The sequence below is a fragment of the Homo sapiens genome, chromosome 1, assembly GCF_000001405.40.
Source record: "Homo sapiens chromosome 1, GRCh38.p14 Primary Assembly".
Classification (NCBI taxonomy): Eukaryota; Metazoa; Chordata; class Mammalia; order Primates; family Hominidae; genus Homo; species Homo sapiens.
Genome location: NC_000001.11, coordinates 65,381,976 through 65,403,274, shown reverse-complemented (window position 1 = coordinate 65,403,274; position 21,299 = coordinate 65,381,976). Strand labels below are relative to the sequence as shown.

Below are 21,299 nucleotides of genomic sequence, written 5' to 3'. Positions count from 1 at the left end.
CCTCATCTGTAAAACGAGGATTATAACAGTCACTACTTCAAAAGATTATGAGGAAGATTAAATGAAATGATATATGTAAAACACTTTAAGTAGTGCCTGGCACATAGTAAGGCCCCAATAACTATTAACTGTTATTTTTATTGTTTTCATTATTTGACATTATATATTTGTTAATTTATTATTTGATTCCCCTTCTATAATGTAAGTTTTATTAAGGCAGGAGTTTTGTTTTGTTTGGTTATTTTTTTTACTAAAACAGTCCTAGCACCTAGAAGGCACAAAAGTGCCTTAAATACTTGTTGGATGAATCAATGCATTAAATGCATTAAAAATAAATAATAAATGAGATTTTATTGAAGTAAAATTTCATCTGATATAATATTACTTTAAAATTTGAAATTTTCAGTAAGATACAAAGAAAGGTGGAGAAGAAAATGACTGCATAAAATAATTTTGAGAGTTCTTAAAAGGGAAAAACATCTAAATAGTACAGAATGGAAGATAAAGATGCTGACACTAGTTACAGACAACAACGGTAGCCAGGCTCACATTCCCTCCATCTGGCTCTAAATGCCTCAGTAGGGCTTTCTGAGATCACAGACTATCAATATAGCCAAGATAAACCTTTGTGTCAGGGCTACCCCACCCTTATTTAACAAATCTGCACTGCCCTAGAGGAGGAAGGAAAAAGGAGGAAGAAAATGTTTCAGAACATAGTAGTCCAGTGAACCCCTCCTTGAAAACAGGCTCCTTGGTGAAATCAGTTTGAGAACTCTGGATACTGTGTCCCTCTTAGTGGTAATCAAAATCCACTGAAACCAGTGCTTCCCAATCTCACCTGCTCTCAGAACACTTATCCTGTAACATCTATTAACATATGGTGAAAATATTCTGGAAATACGATACTTGAGTCTATTTTCTGTATAGAATTTTACAAATTGACCGGAGAGCACCACAGTTAATGGAGAGAAGGGGAACGGTGTGAAGATCTCACAGGTAACATCACCGCATCACAGTTAGTGTTCTGCAAGGTTGGCATCATGTGGCACAAATCCATCTGACCAGCCCTGTCTCATACTGTTTCCCTACGCATTACTTTTGCGCAGCCAAACTCTGTTGCCATGAGCCCCTGAAAGCTCTAACTTTATTCATGCTACACATCCAGAATTAGGCACTGGAGAAATGAATCAATAAAGATGATTTCTAACCCCACATCTGATTATCGCTTTCCTTTTTTAAAAAGCCAATCTCAGGTTTCAGAGGATAGCTTAAGAATACACACTATTTGAGGTTCCAGGTGACAATACCAGCTTGCTGTAACACCAAAGACTGAGATTTGAGGCTTTATAGCTATAAATAAATGTTATTTGTATCTTGATCTTCTGAGTTTGTACCTAGTGTCCCAAGGTCGGCAAAAGGATCCAGAGTCTGGGGTTTGCTTTGATGGGTGGGAGTACCATGCGAGGATCCGGTTGGGCTGGTGGCAGCTGACTTGCTTCCCATTCCAAAGCCTCCTGAAAAGGAAATAAGGTCATTGAAAATGAGTTAGTTGTTTGAGGCTGAATTGTGAAATTCAGAATTCCAGAGTTACTGTTTATTTGTCTCCTAGGCAAATTAGGACAGGGTTTGAAAATGTCTAAGAAGTTGCTAGACCCTGTTTCCCTGACCTGGGTGAATGGTGGCCTTGAACAAGGACAGACCACAGAAAAGACAAATGCTGTTTCCAGGCCACAAGTGTGAACTATTATTTCCAGTGTTTGTTTTATTTCCAGGTCCTCATGTCACCTGACTTCACTCTTTCCTATAAGATTCGAAGTTAGGTCTGGATCTGGATTCTGGCTTTGCCAATTCCTGAGTGACCGTGGGAATCTTGCTTAACATCTTTGAGCTTCAGCATTTTACCATTAGTTTTAAAAAAGAGAAATAATATGAAACCAACATCACAGGCAACAAAAGAAAAACAAATGGGACAATTGTCAAGCTAAAAACTGCTGTTCAGGGAAGGTAACAATCAACAGAATAAGAAGGCAACAGGGTAAAAAGACTCTTATCTCTCACCATATAAAAAAATCAGCTCAAAATCCATTAAAGATTTAAATGTAAGACCCAAAACTATGGAATTACCAGAAGAAAACATACAGATGAATACCAGAAGAAAACCAACAGACGTATAAAACCAACAGATGTATAAAAAAATCCTAACAACACTAATCATCATAGAAATGCAAATCAAAACCAAAATGACATATCACCTCACTCCTGTCAGAATTGCTATTAAAAAAAACAAAAAACATGTTGGCAAGGATGTAGAGAAAAAAGGACACAGTTGGTGGGAATGTAAATTAGTACAGCCATTATGGGAAACAATTTGGAGATTCCTTAAAATATTAAAAATAGAACTGCCATATGATTTATCAATCCTGCTACTGGGTATATATCCAAAGGAAATCAAGTCAGTATGTCAAAGAGATATCTGCACTCCCATGCTTATTGCAGCACTATTCACAACAGCCAAGATATGGAATCAACCTAAGTGTCCATTAATGGATGAATGGATAAATAAAATATGGTGTATATACACAATAGAATACTATTGAGCCATAAAAAGGAAGAATTCCTATCATTTGAGATGACATGGATAAACCTAGAGAGCATTATGTTACGTGAAATAAGCCAGGCACAGAAAGACAAATACTGCATGTTCTCATTCACATGTGGAAGCTAAAAAAGTTGGTCTCATAGAAATAAAGAGTAGAATGGTGGTTACCAGGTGCTGGGGTGGTTGGAGGTAGGGCAGGGATGAGGAGGCATTGGTTAAAGGATATATTATTACAGCTAGAAAGGAGGAATAAGTCAAGAGATCCATTGTACAGCATAGTGACTCTAGTTAATGATGATCTACTACATTCTTGAAAAATCCAAAGAGAATGGATGTTAAATGTTCTCACCACAAAAATGATAACCATGTGAGGAAATGCATTTGTTAATTAGCTACATTTAACCATATCACAGTGTATGTGTACTTCAAAACATCATATTGTACACGACAAATACATACAATTTTATCTGTCAATTTAAAGAAAAATCTTTTTTTGAGACAGGTTTCTCACTCTGTCACCGAGGCTGGAGTGCAGTGGTGTGATCTCGGCTCACTGCAGCCTCAACCTCCTGGGCCTAAGTAATTCTCCCATCTCAGCCTCCCAAGTAGCTGGGACTACAGGCACACACCACCATACCTGGCTAACTTTTGTATTTTTGTAGAGATGGGGTTTTGCCATGTTGCCCGGACTGGTCATGAACTCCTGGCCTCAAGGGATCCTCCCACATCAGCCTCCCAAAGTGCTGGGATTATAAGCGTGAGCCACCACGCCCCAGCCAAAAAAAATTTTTAAATTAAAAACAGAAGGAAATCCTGTCACATGTTACAACACAGATGAACCTTGAGGATATTATACTAAGTGAAATAAGCCAGCCACAAAAGTCAAATGCTGTATGATTCTACTTATGGGAGGTATATAAAGTAGTCAAACTCATGTAGAAGGGTGGTGGCCAGGGGCTGGTGGAGGCAGAGGTAGGGAGTTATTTAGTGAGTGTAGAGTTTCAGTTATGTGAGAAGGTCAGTGGGGAGGTGGGTTCGTTCTGGGGATCTGTTGCACAACAAAGTGCATGTAGCTGATAATACTGTATTGTATACTTGGAAATTATTGGCAGGGTAAATGTTACGTTGTGGGGAAGGGGTTGCTACAATAAAAAAAGGAAACAGCAACTGCTTCAGAAAGTTGTTGTGATAAGCCCATTGTGTATGTGTTTGTATGTGCACGCGTGCACTTAACTTGCTCAATGTCAGGAGCAGTCACACAAGACAGCTCCATAAATGCCATAGTGGTCATGAGGAGGAGACCTTGTTGATGACAGACAAATCCCACCCTGAAGTAAGTACTTTGTAAAGAAGGAAGAATATTCACATTTGTCAGCATCTACACTGTGCCAGAAATTCTTATATAAGTTTTTTTTATTTAAACTTACACAACTATGTGGGACCAAAATTATTATCCCCATTGTTCAGATAAGAAAACTGAGGCTCAGACTTGCCAAAAAAACCCAAGAGTTTCTAAGTGATAGAGTTTGATATATATTTATATCCGTCTGATTCTATTGTCAAGATAAGACATTCAGCAAATGAAATTTAGAAAAGTTAAATGGTGTATGATAAGTAGCACTATCATGTCATCAAGTGCATTGGGAAAAGCTCTTCTAGAATATGAATCTTTAGGAAAAAGTGACACAAATTACACAGGTAGGCCACAATACTCTGTGAGTACTCACTTCATCTTGGGTAAGGATTATGCTTTTGCAATTATATAAATGTGTACAGAAAATAACCTGCTTTTACCTGGTTTAGCATGCCAGTCCCAACCTCCAGAAACATCTGGCTGAATGTTCACAGCAGGCGTACTAGAAGCTGCAAATGGGGAAAAGAAAAAGAATGAGAACAAGAGAGCTCAGAACCCACTTTTCTGAGTTCACACAGGATAATGCCATTCCATCCCTGAAGCCTGCATGGCCCCAGCAAGATCCCAAGATATCCACTCCTCCTTCTGAGTTCTTGCCACACTCTGCAACATTCAATATGTTCTGCCTTCACCTCTGGTTGTTCACATGAGGCTTGACAGAAACGACATATTATTTGTCTCTGCTCCTTCTTTGTCTCACTTTGGTTTTACCTCCATATCCACACGCTTTGAGTTATCATTGAGCATGTGTCTGTCTCCATTCAATTGTCAGTCCCTCGAAGTCAGGAAAGAACTATCTTATGTGTGTGTGTCCCACCTCTAAATTTAACACAGAGTCAGTGTGCAATAAGAAAAGGGGGAAAACACCTTAAGCTCAGTTTACCTTTGCTAAGCATTAAGTATAGAAGCATAATCCACTCAAAACTGACATTTTGTTTTCTCCTCTGCTGTGACATGAGTTGAGAATAATGAGTCATGCAGAACATGTACTGGGCACTGGCTATACATCATCACTATGCTGGTTGTCAGGGATGTGTCTATGGTACTCAAAATAAACTCATTACAGCTTCAAAATAAATCATTCTGACCCCCCCTCAAAGTTCCAAACATATAATTTAAAAGAAATATTTGGCTAAAAGGAATCAGGTGTACTAGAGGAATACATGTGCGTAGTAAGTTTTTTACACATCTATAAAATCTATATAGGAAACAGGATGCCATGATGAAGAATTTCTTTCTGAGGCACCTCTAGGTTTTGCCCACACAAATCAATTATTAAAATGCAAATACTAAACTGACATTGCAACTGGGATTTAAAACACACACACACGCACACACACACCCCATCACCACCAGAAGGCATCAAGATTAGCATTCCAAACCTTTTATTTCCTTGTTTTGTTTACTTAGTACCAACCAAGTCATCTAGTACCTTCCCATCATTAAGTTAAAAAGGATATGCCATTATCAGCAATAATAATTCTTTCTTTTCTATTTATCCCTTCTATTTTTACACAGTAACCCATTCCACTGAGGTGGAAGTTAGACGGTTTTGCTAGTACGTTCTATCTGATTTCCTTTAAGCTCTGATCCTAGTCTTACATCCAATTAAGACGCAGAAGTAGGTATCAGAACTTCAACCCTGTTGCTAATCAAACCCACAAACCCTTATGACTACCTACCACATGCAAGGCACCACATCAGGGGACAGAGACTGAAAGATGCATTATCTATCCTCAAGAAACTTAAGGTCTGTTAGAGAAACAGGAATATATTTTTTCAAAAAGGTAATTACCTAATATTTTAGTCTCTATTTTGCCTTTTATTATGATTATTTATTTGTTCTTCCAACATCATGTCCCAAGTGATTATTCTCTTCAGAATAGATGTTCAATAAATATTTGTTGAGCCCAAAGGCAGTATTTTTTTTATTTTCATGAGAGATTGGCGACGCCTTGCAGAAACCCGGGGGAAGTACCCTGAGGATGTCTGACCTCCCAAAGCAGACATCTGAGTGTCACCTATATTCTGTCCTATGTGAAGACGGGGAGTTGATTCAGTAACAGTGAAATGATCATTGCTTTCCCAACAAGGAGAGGAGAAAATTCTTTCCACTCGCTAGTACAATACAGACCAAAATGAGAAATGTAACCACAAAACAAAGGAGTACTAACTGGCCTAAACTGGGTTATAAACACCATGTTCTAATCAGCTCATCAGAAACAGAAAACTGGATCCAAAACTGCCAAGCTGCCAAGTATGAACACCCACGTCCATGGGACACAAAGGGTAGTACTCTTATTAAAACAATAATTTCAAAGTATTAAAATCAGGAAAACATATAGCCTTATGACACTATCACTGTGCATCAAAGAAACTTTGATGGGAAAAATGAGTTAATTCATTTTATATTTAATATTGGAAAGATAGATAGCAGCTACCATGTGCCGGTAATTCTTTTAGGCACTATGGATGCATTAATGAACAAAACAAAATTCCCTGCCTTTGTGGAATTCATGTTCTAATAGAGAGAGAGAGATGACAAAAAAATGTAACACATAAGTTAATTACTGCATATACTGGAAGTTACTAAGCACAACAGAAAGGGGAATGTAGAGTAGGGCAGGGAGACGAGTTGCAATTTGAAACGGAGGAATCAGAGTAGACTCCACTGAGAAGGTGACATTTGAGCAAACACTTGAAGGAGGTGAAGGACTTAGCCATGCAGATGCCTGGGGAAGAGTATGAGGCAGAGGAAACAGCCAGTGCAACAGCAAAGAGGCCAGTACAGCTGGAATGCAGAGAGTAAAGTGGGAAAGAATGGGAAATGAGGTCACGGGCACTGAGATGCTAGAGCATACAGAGGCTACACAGGCCATTTCAAGGACTTTGGTTTTCATGCTGAGTAAAATGGGGAGGCATTTTGAGCAGAGCAATGACATGACTTAACATTTTAAATGAGTGAGAAAACCAACTCTACTCTACATTCCTGCATCTTTTCTCCTACAGGTAGTCAACATCCAATCAGGAGACTCTCTCAAGTGAGCATGACTCAGAGGTAAGAGGGGAATTTCTTGTATATTGTCCTGAGGATGCACTTCAAATAGTTTGAGATTAAAGACTAGTTGGAAATGAACCACAAAAGTTGTTCCTGGAATCTTTTTTAGTCAAGTTTCAGTTTCACCAGTGTTGCAAAAGTCATCTTCCTTTTGCATTGGCATGGTTTCCCAAAGTCAACTGATGACTGGACTGCATTCTCCAAGCAAGCTCAGGATGCCTTCAACAATACGTCACCTTCTAGGTTGTGGCCAATAATGTTCAATAGACTTCGACATCAGGAATGAGCTACAACTCTCTGGCTCAAAGTTATTTATCCCTCACTGCAGACCTCCGGTTTTAATCAATGTTACCTAAGTGACACACTTTTATAAATGGATGTGATTATTATTACTCTTTCTATACAACCTAAGTCTCTAACATAGAAATATAATTTGGGCCACATATGTAATTTTATATTTCCTAGCAGTCACATTTTAAAAAGTAAAAAGACACTATTGAAATTATTTTTAATAATATAGTTTATTTAACCCAGTATGTTCAATATATTATGTTAATAAATGATCAATATAAAAATATTGATGAGATGTTTCACATGCCCTTTTTGTACTAAGTTTTGAAATCTGGTATGTATTTTATACTTGGAGTGTATCTCAAATCAGACTAGCCACATGTAGAGTCATCAACAGCCACACGTAACTAGTGGCTATCATATCCCAAACTTTGTTCTTTGGAATACCAATTTTGTGGACTACTAACATATTTTATTTATTTAAGACATATTTTCCCACATTTCAAAGATTTCTCTAACCAAGAAGTATCTTCCAATCATTTCATAGTGGCAGTGTTTTTTTCTTTCTTATTGGTACATAAAATAATCATATGTCCTACAATCAAGGGTCATTTATGATTCTGTCCATGTAGCTCTAATGCAAAAAAGGATACCATAGTCAAATAGGAAAGCAGAGCAAAACAAAGTTAAGCAGGTTTCTGTCCTGTAAGACAGCCCAGAGATTTTGATATGTTAAGGTGAGTTGTTAATTTCAAAAACAGAGATGTGTGAGGAAGCTTTTATCAAAAAAGCACCCACAGGGTGCTTTTATATATGAGCACTTACTGATATCTTGCAGAAAACTATGTTCCACTGAACACAATATAAAATATTTCCTTACCATGTACTGTGGGCGAAGGACTTCTTGTTGGCTGGAGAAAGGGGTCACTGGAAGCACTGGATGTGTTCAGAAAAGAACCCAGCAAATCCTGACCTGATGGTTTAGAAGGTGCTCCAAATGGGTCAAAGGTGGCACCTAGAAAACAATGGGAAAATATATTTATTTGTCCCATGAGTTCATTCACTAAATGTCACAGAATTGTCACTTCCTGTAGGGCTAACAGTGGACTCCAAGAATTTCCTATCTTTGTGGACAAAGGAGTAGTCTGGACTTACCTGTTGGATGAACTACAGTCGATACCATTGCTGCTACACAAGGCTAATCTGCCCAGCAGTTGTTAGGAGAGCATTATGCCAATGAAGTCTTAGCTGAAAACGTATTAAGCCATATATCCCACCTCGGTTTTAAGAGCAGGATTTATTTGTTATCTAGCCTTATCCCTTCTTACCATACTCAGTACATTTAAAATATCAATTTATGTTAAACTAGGGGCATTCTCCAATAACTAAAACTGCCCAACACCACAAGACAAGAGCTCAAAATTTAGTCTTTGCAACAATGCTAATATGTAACTATTATCCCCATTTTACAACTGAGAAGATTTTTCAATAATGTTACACAGACAGTTAAGTCCTGGGATTCAAATCCAGGTCTTTAACTCTAGACTTGGTGTTCTTTCTACTTCCTCTTGGGGGGATAGAATACTTGCATTCTAGACCTGGGTATGCCACTAATCCAGTGGGTATCCTCAGACAGGTCAATCAATACATCTAAGCCTCAGTTTCATTGTCTATAACATGAGGCAGAGAATTAACTGATGTCTAAGGCCCCTTCTGGCACTGGAATTCCACTAGCTGCCTGAAACTATGATGAATGAAATCATGAGAGTCACACCAGGTGCACAGTCTTAAAATGCAATTATCGAGTACTGATATCTTGGATCTTGGAAACTGTTTTCCTGACAGAGCTTTTTTTCACTTTGGCAAGTTAAAACTGTATGGAAGGAAGTGAAGTACAGATGAAATAGCATTGGCATAGGATTCAGGGCACCTGAGTTCACATCCTGGGTCCACCAATAGCTAACATTGGAGCTTGAGCCTCAACACCAATACTCTGTAATTCTGAGACCCACACTCATGAAGGATGCCTCCAGCTGAACTATCACAAGTCAAGACCAGCCCAGAGCCTTCTGGGAAGGATACGCTTGGGGAAAAAAAATGTTCCTATAGGATACTATAGGCCTGAAGAGTTGAGACATTTCTCTTTACCCTTCCTAATGTGAAGTCATCTTGGTTAATGGTGACAGGACCAAGGGGCAGCTAATTTGAGTGGGTTCTTCAGGAGCTGTGCTGGATCTCTGCTTACCCAACTACACTGTCTTATAAATGTCAAAAAATCCTAGATGACTCATAGTAGAAGGTTTGAGTCTCTGGCAATGAGACAGTGAAACTAACAGAGCCTCAAGGGGCTCAAACTCCTTACCTAGTACCAACTGCTCTGTTCTAGGAAGCTGTGCTTCCGGCATGAGTCACTTAAACATATTTTCAAATAACCAAACACTTCTCTGGATAGCCCACATATATTCAGAAAACTATAACTTCAGGAAGCCGTTATAGGAAAACAGAGGGAAAGCCCTAGAGTCAAATAACCTAGGTTTGGACACTGGCCTTATCAATTACTAGTCATATAAACCTATGCTACTGATTTAATTCTATGCTTCCATTTCCTCAACTATAAAATGGGGATAAAAATAGCCCTTATTTATTGAGTTTCTGTAAGAATTAAATAATGTTTAGTATTAAATTCCATGTCTGGCAAATAGTAAATACCTCATAAATATTAGCTATTTTTATCAATAATAATTCATCAATCAGTATGTTTAAGCAGACTAATGCAGCTCAGGGGTTGAAGTGCTAAACAAAGAAAATTAGAAGTAAGAGTGTGAAGCTCAAACGTCCACTCTTACACTACCTTAGTGTGCTACCCAAATGGACAATATTTCTATTTTCTCTTACGCTCTCAATTTAAATAAAGATACAGACCTCCTCTAAAGGACTTACAGTGAAATCAGAAAAGTCTAGCTTATTAGGAAAGTTCAATTCCACCTATTTGGCCCAAAGGTTAGAATTCAAATCTGAGAGGCACAGTGCAACATAGAAAAAATTACCTTCTCCCACTCTTAGGGTTGGAGACGCAGAGGTGGAGGTGGCAGAGCGGCGTGGTGTTGACTGGGTAGACGCAGGTCCACTAGGATGAAACACATCTTCCACTCCTGACTGTCCAGCCTGGGTGGGACCAGCTGCACCTCCACCCCCAAACAGGTCACTCAGTAGTTCAGAATTGGTGGGAGGAGCCGCTGGCGGAGAGAAGCTGTTACTCATTGCAGACCCTTCCAGGCCCAAAAGGTCCACATCCTCAGGGGGTGGAGGGGCTGCTGGCTCCTGCTGCTTTTTGCTGGGCTTCTTGACTCCATGAGGCTTGTCACCATTGGCATTGCCATGCGGACTGGAAAGTGTCAGAAGTTCATCATCTGATTGCTCACTTTCCTGATTCACTAGGGCAGCGTGGTCCTCCTCACAGAATGACTTCTCCGATTTCTGATCTGAGGAAGGCCAGTATACCATAAGAGATTAGTTGCTGACCACAGCATTGTTGGTTTTTGTTATAATATATGTATATAATTCCAGAAAGACAGAAGGATTCAGCCCTGAGCAAACAGTGTTTTTAGACCCTAATCAGTGGAACACTTGATGTATTTCACGTTACATTCAACTACCACTTGTTGAGCATCTGAGAGGCAGTAGAGCATAGGGGTAAGGAGCAGGAACTCTGGAGCCAGCCTAGGACTGAATCTCAGCTTCACTACTCACTGGCTCTATGACACTGGGCAAGTTACTTTACTTCTCTGTGCCTTGGTTTCCTCCTCAGCAAAGTGGGGATAACAAATTGTACCTAACGGCCGGGCGTGGTGGTTCACACCTGTAATCCCAGCACTTTAGGAGGCTGAGATAGGATCACTTGAGGTAAGGAGTTTGAAACCAGCTTGGCCAACATGGTGAAAACCCCATCTCTACTAATAATACAAAAATTAGCTGCACATGGTGGCGTGTGCCTGTAATCCCAGCTACTCGGGAGGCTGAGGCATGAGAATTGCTTGAACCCGGGAGGTAGAGGTTGCAATGAGCCAAGATCATGCCATTGTACTCCAGCCTGGGCTACAGAGTGAAACTGTGTCTAAATAAATAAATAGTACCTAACTCACAGGCTACTGTGAGAAATACATGAGATGATATTATAAATCACTCCAATCAATAGTAAGTAGTACCTAAGTGTTGATTTTTTTTTTCAGGCACTATGCTAGGTGCTTTGGCCGGGGAGGGTAGTACAAACCATTATCTGCTAGTCATTTGCTGACACTTCTCACTGTCTTTACTTCTCCATGTGTCCTGTAGCCAAAAGCAAATCCCTTCTCTAACAGTCTGGAGCAGAAGTGAACCACACATTTAAAAAGTGAAAAGAAGAGCTCTGCTGTGAAAGGTCCTTATACCAGCTTGAAAGGGGTACTTTCAGCACAAAATGAGCAGCAGGAAAGAGGCCTCCTCTGGGGAAGGAGTGACCTTCTAAGCCCTCCCTGAGATAGATCTTCCCACAAAAATTTGATATTTAATGCCAGATAGACCCACATTCCAAGTCAAGTATGGATCCACATCCTTTATTCCAAATTATAAAATGTAATAAGCTATGAAAAGGAAAAGATTTTCCTAAGTTTGGCATGAATTCAGTTGGTGGAAAACTGACAGACGTGAATATGAAGATACTTATAGTCTTCATTTATCTCACTTAGGGCTATTGTTTATATGTTCTACTGCAGAAATATTAATATGTTTGATTATAGGTTATTATCTGAGATATCACTTGGGATGTCAAGTTACATCACTTTATGTAGCATATCATCCTTCTAAAATCCAAAAAGTTCTGCATTCCTAAACATACCTGGCTCTGAGAGGTTCAGACAAGAGACTGTGCATCTATACTAAAACCTATTTCAGAGTCTACAGGAATTATCTCTAAATTATTTGCTAAAATGACAGTGGAGAGGAAAGAGTGAAGTTGTATTAAAAGCCCTCGCTGTGAGGAAAATAAGAGGTAAGAAAGGCCAACAGGGGATAAGAAATCTACCTACTGTCCAGATACCACTGGGTTTTCCAAATTTGAGGATTTGCTAGTTCCATTTCTCGAAAGAAAATTCTGAAAGTGAGTCTTTCAATTCAACGGAATTTTATGAACAACTTTTTCATCAAACTGAAGCCTGCAGGCGATGGGAATATTATCTTACATTCACACAACAGAGGAAGGTCAATCAGGATAATTTCAGATAAACCATACCATAGCCAGTTTCCCATGCCTTTCATACCCAAACACTGACTACCCACGTCTACACTGAATCTCACAGTTAGCCTCAGCCAGCTCTAAAGCAAGGATAGCCAATGGGTATTGATTAGGATGCCAACGTCAGGCTACTGCTGGCAGCAGCTGGAAGTGTTATATTGAGGAGGATTCTGAAAATATCTCCAGGTTTGAGAGAAAAGAACCTAGTAATCGAGCCCTTATTTCTGGTATGGCTGTTAAAGCAAGAGCAGAGATATACAGGCCAAGTGTTTGCTTTCTCTGCAGCAGGGTAAGCTCAGTTCTGCCCTGCTAGTGGTTAAGGCTCCCTGGGGGGAATGCTGATTTGATATTTTTATAATATTTAGTTGACAGCGGAAGATAGAATCCTGTGTTAATCTCATTACAGAGGCAGCAGTCTAAAGGGAGATCATAAACAAATCACACTTATTTGTCAGTCCAGGAATGACGTGACCAAAAACACAGCAGAGAGAAGGGAGAATTCAGTTTAAAATGGCCTTTTGCATCAGTCTAAGAGCATCTACTGAGTTGAAAGTAGGGAAGTTGCCTGATTTGAAAAGGGAATGAATTGGAAGGATGTAAACTTGAATGATGTCTTTTAAAAAATTTTTTAGAGATGGAGTTTTGCTCTGTCACCCAGAATGCAGTGCAGTGGCGCAATCATAGCTCACTGCAACCTTGAACTCCTGGGCTCAAGCAGTCTTCCTGCCTTAGCCTCTGACATAGCTAGGACTACAGGCATTTGCCACCACTCCCACCTAATTTTTTAAAATTTTTTGTTGAGATAGGGTCTCACTATATTGCCTGAGCTGGTCTTGAACTCCTGGCCTTCCTATCCTGGCCTTCCAAAGTGCTGGGCTTACAGGTGGGAGTCCGTGTGCCTGGATTGAATGACCTCTAAGTGCTGCTTTAATGTAGTCTGCTTCTAGGGCCAACATCTTTACAGAAGAAATACATAATCATCAAACCATGTGACTTAAAGAAACACTTGTAAATACCTTGCCAACAGAGAGAGGCAAAGAAACCACTTTGTCCGTAATGCCTGGGGTTGTCTGGAGGGATATCTATTGGAGCCTGTCCTGCAAGACAAAAAGACCATGTAGCATCAATGAGACACAGGAAATAAATAACAGAGAGGCTTCATCCTGAAAAACAAAACCATCAGGTGACTCATACCTCCTAAGGCCAGCGTATCTTGATGTTCCTGGTGAGAAGAGAAGAGGATGCTGGGATTGACATCTTTTGTGCAGTAATGTTCCCATGGTGGAGTTAAGTCTATTACTTTGTCATGGGGCTGTAGTTCTACATCCAGTGTCACCTGAAATAGCTGAGGATATTTTTCTGGTACATCACATGCATCTAACTCAGGCCTAAATAGGGATTTAAAAAAGATAAATTCAGTGAAAAACAATGGAACTGGTATGATGTTTGGCACAGAAGTCATCTTAGGTTGACTCTTAGGTTAAATCTAAGTCTCATTTCTAAAAAAGACTCAGTCATAACCAGATAAGTTACTTTACTTTTCTGAGCTTCAGTTTCCTAATCTAGAGAAAAGAGGAGAATAATGCCTGCTCAACAAATTTGAATGCTACTGCATGTAAAAGCATTCTGGAAAGCAGGGCTGATGTGACTGGCACGGCAAAATCCATTATTAAAATAGTGCAATAGGCCCACAGCCACTGTCCTGAGCCCTTGAACATCTACTCCTATCCTGGCCCCAGCAACTCCATCCCGGCTCTAGCCACCCCCACAACTGCGTTCACCTAGACCACACTATGAGATAGGTTAATGTCGGTGCAGAAAGGTCCTCCAGAAGCCTGCTTCAGTGCTATAGCGGGGCTTCTATTCTGATGCATCATTGCTGATACCATACCACTGATTAAACTGCCATCCCCACTGGAAAACACAAGGGGATACACAGATGCAAAGGATCAAAAGCAGTGATACTTTGTCCCGCTTTGTTTACCCTTATTCCCTCACATAGAATTTTAGAACTTTCTGTTTGAAGTCTTTGGTCCCTTTGTACTTCTGAAGATAAATCATATTCAACTGAAAGCTTTAGAATGCCCACAGCCTCTCTGTGCTACTGAGTGACACTCAGTAGTTCAGCAGCACAGGATTCCAGGGTATGCTACAGCCTGGTGCCATTGAGCCTCAGCACTTCACAGCTAATTTGATTCAAATAGACTTTTGGCCCAACCAGTACTTACTTGGTGAACTTTAAAACTGTTGTGTCCAGTGGTATGAATCCAGTGTGAAACTGAAGCTGGAATATCTGTGTGTTGGTCACCTAAAAATACATGAGAGAAGCACATTACAATCAATCAGCGAAAAGGGAATCTGATCAAAAGATTAGATTTTGGGGAGACATGCACCTTCAACTGTTTCAATATCTGAATTTGTGTTTACTATGGATATTAAATGACCTCCCCAGTTAGAATAGGCTCAGCTTCATTTCCAGCCTCTCCTCTACTTGAACTCTGCCTTGGCAAACCATTTTCTCATCCGCTAAATACTATGTTCTTGCACACAGGCATACTTCGACTCATTGCATTCCTTCTACCCAGGATGCCCTGTTCCAACCCAATGAACTCATCCTTTAGGGCATGTCTTAAAAGTTCATATTCTCTCTGTAGCCTTTCTAGGCCACTGCTGGCTAAAACAAACTGCTCCCATTATAACACCTCATCCTCCCTCTAATATGGTATCATGCATATTTGTACTTGCATGGATTTCCCTTGTGAAATTGAGTCCCTTAAAGGCAGAGACATAGTCTTACTCTTGTCAATCCTAAAAACCTCAGCAATGGCTGGCACAAAGCACTCACTTAGCCAATATGTGATGAATCAAAACACAATTACTTGCCACATTATTCCTAATAGCAAAAAATGGCAATATCCCAAATGTTCACCAACTGATGATTATTAACTGAGATTATCAACTAAGATTAATACATTGTGACATTACAATGGAATAATATTTGGCCATATAAGATAATGAAGTACTGACACATGCTATAACACAATAAGCTTCAAAAACATTCTAAGTGAGAGAAGGAAGCCTCAAAAGGCCACATATTGTATGATTCCATTAAATAAAATGTCCCAAATAGACAAATCCATAGAGGCAGAATGTAGATCAGTGGTTACCAGGAGATGGAGGAGAGGGAATAGGAAGTGACTGCTATAGGTACAGGGTATCTTTTGTGAGTGATGAAAATGTTCTGGAATTAGTGGTGATGTTTGCACAACCTTTTGAATAGACTAAAAACAACTGCATTGTACACTTTAAAAGGGTGACTTTTATGTTATGTGGTTTTATCTCAATTTTTTAAAATTGAAAAAATACAATCCCTTAATTCCACATCCTCAGTAGAAATCTCTTCCCTTACACTGATCCAAATGGGGCACTATAAGAAAAGCACAGGCTTCTAAAGAGTATGGTTTGCTAAGAGTTCCAGGGCTGTCATCCTCTGGCACGGACATCATGCCAAGGACTTTGGGCAAGTCACAACCTCTTTGAGTCTCAGTTCCTCCCCTGTAAGATGAAGGAGGTGAGCTAAGCAATCTTTAAACGCTCTTTTTCATTCTAAAACTACAAGTGACTCAAGCCCAAAGTGATGGGGAGAAAAGATTCAGAAATACTCCTATTGAAGACTCAGATGAACTTATGCCATGATTCTTCCAAAAACCATACCTTAGCCTGTAGCCGGCTCCCAATGGTTGACCTCAAGTGATACATGGAAACAACCACGTCTCCTTGCACAGTGATGTTCAAGGGAATGAAGATTTTTCCATCTTGGACACGATATTCTCTGTAAACACAGACCAAAATATACATTGAAAGAGAGTCCAATCTGGTACAATCACACAGACACAGGTATAGTTCTCTATGGCTCTGGCCCAGAGGACTGTTCGCCCAGGCCCGGACCCAGAAACTATTTCCTATCTTGAGCAAAAACAGGAGTGCAGCCAGTGCCAACTGGTTGTGCAGTAGGATGGTGCTGGTCTAATGCCAGGCCCCCTCTCTGCATCCCATCTGGACTGCAATTGCCCATGCCTGCTTTGCAGATCTCATTTTCCTCAAATGCATCTAGCCCCCATGTATTTGCCTTTTCTTAACTTTAAATTAATACTAAAAGCAGAGATAAAGGGAACAAAAAATCCACTGGAGATCAGGATACAAACAGAAATGTCTTGCTCTGTGAAAGTCTTGGATGCCAGTCCTCAAATTCAATCTATTCCTAACTAATTTCATGTTATGTTACCACCCACTCCCTTCTCTCCACATCCCCTATGACCACCCACTGGCACCTGCTCTTTATTATGGATTCTGTAACTTCTTTAATTACATCACCGTCTACCTAGTTGCTCACTTAGAAACCTCATTCATCAGTGATTCTTCCATTACCCTCACCTAATCCCATCAAGGCCATCTCCTTCTTCAATGACCAGGTGTCCCATGTTCCCCTTGGTCTTAATCCTGTATACAGCTTATGCTAGTCCCTTAGCCTATATCATGGTTTCATTTGAAAAAGGGCCATAACATCCCCTGATTTACTTGTACTTTTCTATGATTACCACTGATGTTGAACATTTTTTATATATCAGCTATTTCACAATGATATAGTCTTGCAGGAAGAATATGATTCAACTCATTCCTGCTCATTTACATGAGAATTGAGAAGTACATAGGAAGAAGTAAAGTATCATGACTTACTTCATTCGTTCAAAATCTGTGCAAGTCGAATATATTTTGGTTTCTCCAATGAGTACATCACAGTAAGGGCGACATCCATTCCTCTGTTTGTTGAAAAAGGGTATTGGACTGACAGTGATCGACTTAATTGTGAGAGGCTTGAAGTGAGGGCGGTAGGGCTTGTCTGCCAGTAGGTCACACATATAGCCCAGGTATCTGAAACAGAAGGTTGGCACTCTCTTGGGGCCCATCACATCAGGAGAAGCAAGCAATCAATATTTGCTATGAAGATTCTTCTTGCAAATTACTGTTATAATAAAAACTTATTCTATCAATTTCTTAAATATTAACTAGCAAAAGATAATGCGATCAATAATTTAGGAAACATTTTATCTACTGAGATTGCTGTACTTCCCCAATGAACTGATACTGGGGTATTTATTAAATCAAAAAGCTTATGGGAATTTTATAGTACTTCAATATTTGAACATCTATTCCTATTTTATCTAGCAGATCCAATTTATCAGCTAAAATTTGGCTTTGGATAAATTTTAGAATTTTATCATCAGAAGCACTTTTAATCCAAAAAATTAAGGAGATGTAGTTTTTAAAAAAATGAAGAAATTGTGATAAAAGAAAAATCAATGTTATCTAAAAACAGTTTTCTTTTTTATTCCATTTTTCAGATTATCTTTTGTAATCTTTTATTTCTATATCAGAGTTACATGAAAAAGTGAATTTTAAAACGCTTTATTCTCTATGTATTTTTGCATTTCCCTTTGTTAAATCAGGTTTCCCACAGGAGGATCACCAGTGATAAGTATAACCAGCTACTGCTGTTTTTCAATAAAGACCTGTATAATAAAACAAAAAGGGACTGGTCTTAGAGCTTGGGATCAAGAATGCTGTTCTGGCTCTGTCCACTGGGCATTAGACCTGAGGCAAATCACAACCTGTCTTGAGTCCCAGTTTCCTCACCTGTAAAATGAGGGAAGTTGGATATAAGTATTCTTTAAAGTTTCCTTCTAGTTTTAACATCATAAATTTTCGTATGGGGGCTTACAAACTGAATGACAATCTAATATCCTAATCCAATTCAGTTTTTGCATAGTTCAGGATAATGTCAGATTGATGTGGTTTGGCTATGTCCCCATCCAAATCTCATCTTGAATTGTAGCTCCCATAATCCCCAACGTGTTGTGGGAGGGATCCGGTGGGAGGTAATTGAATCATGGGGGCGGGTTTTCCCATGCTGTTCTCATGATAGTGAATAAGTCTCATGAGATCTGATGGTTTCATAAAGGGCAGTTTCCCTGCACACGCTCTCTTCCCCGCCACCATGTAAGATGTGCCTTTGCTCCTCCTTCCCCTTCCACCATGATTGTGAGGCTTCCCCAGCCATGTGGAACTGTGAATCCATTGAAACTCTTTTTCTTTATAAATTACCCAGTCTCAAGTAGTTCTTCATAGCAATATTAAAATGGACTAATACAGAGATAAAGTAAAAGAAACTTATGAAAGGATTTGTAAGGCAGATTTAAAACAGTACATGATACCAATTAGACTACATCTGTGCCTAGCCTGCATCTAGCTTACTTTACCTCCTATGGGATGGTGAAAGTCCAATTCCTGGTCGCTTTGCATATAGCAATCGAATGGCTGGGCCAGGAGTAGAGTAGAGATTACAGAAAATGAACATAGCACCAACCAGAATTGATGATGCCGCCCGTCCATCCTGTCAAAGAAAATGCATAAAATCATTATGAACATGATCAAATCAGCCATTCTCCATTGAAAATGGCAGAATTTGCAATTAAGAGACAGAGAGAGGAGAAATCCTCTTAACTGTGGGTGCTTTTCATTTAAAAATTATTCACTTGAAAACCAAAATTTGTTTCAGCTTTTTAAATCAAAGGCAGCAAGGAAAGACTTATCCTTAGAATAAAATTGATTCTAATCTGAGAAGCCCAATTTGATTTGTATATATTTGGTGAAAAATAATATAATCTTCAAAGTAATTTTGGACTTGTTGAATTAATAGTTGAAGTCTCTTGGTTTAGGACTGGAAGTAACGAGCTCACAGGTTAGGTAAATGCTGCTTGTTGGGATATGGCATATATGTATCTCATGCAAAGTATGTTCCTAGATTCGTATAAAATAAAGAACCTTCACCAGATTCAACTTCATTCAATGTAGAAATAAATCTGTTGTGGACTGAATGTTTGTATGCCCCAGAATTCATATGCTGAAATCCTAACCCCAATGTGATGGTATTAGGAGGTGGAGCTTTGGGGAGGTAATGAGGTAGGGAGAGTGGAGATCTCATGAATGGGAATTGTGCCCTTATAAGAACAGACAAAAGAGCTTGCTGTCAACTCCCTCTGCCCTTGGCCAATGTGAAAAACAAGAAGACAGCCATCTGCCACCCCAGAAGCAGGCCCTCACCAGACATTACAAGTGCAGGCACCTTGGTTGGGCACAGTGGCTCATGTCTGTAATCCCAGCACTTTGAGAGGCCAAGGCGAGCAGATTGCCTAAGCTCAGGAGGTCGAGACCAGCCTGGGCAACATGGTGAAACCCCAACTCTTCGAAAAGAAAAAAAGAAAGAAAAGAACTGCAGTCACCTTGATCTTGGACTTTCCAGCCTCCAGAACTACATTCCTGTTGTTTAAGCCACCCGGTCTATGGTATATTTGTTACAGCAGCTCAAGCTAATTAAGACAAAATTCAGTAACATCCCTGACAGATGTGACCTAGCTTCTTCTAGAACACTTTAAGTGACAGGGAGATTACTCATACTTGAAGTAGCCCATTCCAGTTTACAGAGCTCTTCCTTATACTGAATATGTTGAGTTGACTTTCATTCCTCCATAGCTTCCACTAAATGACCCTCATCCTTTTGTGAGAACAAAAAATAAACCTACTCCTTTCTTCCTATGGCAGTCCTTCACATATCTGAAATACCCTCCCTTTCTATCAATGCTTCTATTTCCCTTTTAAAACAAACTCAATCCCTTCTATTCTTCCTCACTTGATTTTCCATTTTAAGAGACATCATCATTTAGCACATTTCTTCTAAACAAATTCAAGTTTTAAAATGACAACCTTAAATGCTGCCCAGATGTGAAATGAAAGATATGAGATATATTCTGACCAAACTAGAGAAGAAATATCATCTTCTTTATTCTGGACACTATGCTTTTATTAACATAACCCCAGCCCAAGCTAGTATAAATGTAGGCTAAGTAACAACATAAGCTTTTATTATTCTCTCTATCCACTAAAACCCCTAGATTTTTTCCAGATGACATGTTAAGGTAATGTGCAAATATGTTTAATTTTTTAAAACCAGAATTCAGGACTTTACATTTATCTTGTATTTAATTTCATATTATTAATTTTTGTTAAGTGACCAACCTACAAGAACTTTTAAAATCCAAATTCACTATGTGACCCTTATAATTCTAAGAAAATTGATAAGCTGAATTTCCACATCTTCATCAAAGTTGTTGATTAAAATGAATAACTAAATAAAGCCTTCTCCCAGGAGAAAGGTGATCCATTAATCACCTACCTTTGGAAGCAGATATTCAGCCTCAACTCAACTAAATATATAACAACCTAGCCAAATTTCTCAATCTTGACTAGAAAAAACTAAGAAATATCTTGCAGGACTCCAATAAACTATCTCAACTAGTCTATTAGTCATGTGAAATGTTCTGTTGGTTTGATATGTGCTCATAACAAACCAATGGAGATTCCTTTTTTGCTAAGAGTTTAAAATCTTCTGTGCAAAACTTTCTCAGAATTGTGCCTTGAATTACCACCAGGTTCACAAGCCTACAACTTTCCAGGATCAACCTCCTTCCATACTTTGGGAAAAAATCTCCTCTCTTCATTTGCCTGGCACCTCTCCTTCCTGTTTCTTCATATTACAAATGAAATCCATAAT

General features: G+C 39.3%; 1 protein-coding gene across 3 annotated transcripts in view; it reads right to left on the bottom strand.

Annotated features, from left to right (window-relative positions):
- DNAJC6 (DnaJ heat shock protein family (Hsp40) member C6) overlaps nucleotides 1–21,299 on the bottom strand; it is a 151,123-nt gene that overhangs the window by 12,597 nt on the left and 117,227 nt on the right. For all 3 annotated transcript variants that reach the window (NM_001256865.2, NM_014787.4, NM_001256864.2), the window contains 10 exons: nucleotides 18,949–19,082; nucleotides 17,369–17,563; nucleotides 16,346–16,463; nucleotides 14,860–14,939; nucleotides 13,826–14,019; nucleotides 13,648–13,728; nucleotides 10,410–10,844; nucleotides 8,243–8,377; nucleotides 4,394–4,462; nucleotides 1,395–1,514 (listed from right to left, as the gene is read on the bottom strand). In NM_001256865.2, the coding sequence (NP_001243794.1) occupies nucleotides 1,395–1,514; nucleotides 4,394–4,462; nucleotides 8,243–8,377; nucleotides 10,410–10,844; nucleotides 13,648–13,728; nucleotides 13,826–14,019; nucleotides 14,860–14,939; nucleotides 16,346–16,463; nucleotides 17,369–17,563; nucleotides 18,949–19,082 (1,561 nt within the window). The remainder of the gene's footprint in view (nucleotides 1–1,394; nucleotides 1,515–4,393; nucleotides 4,463–8,242; nucleotides 8,378–10,409; nucleotides 10,845–13,647; nucleotides 13,729–13,825; nucleotides 14,020–14,859; nucleotides 14,940–16,345; nucleotides 16,464–17,368; nucleotides 17,564–18,948; nucleotides 19,083–21,299) is intronic.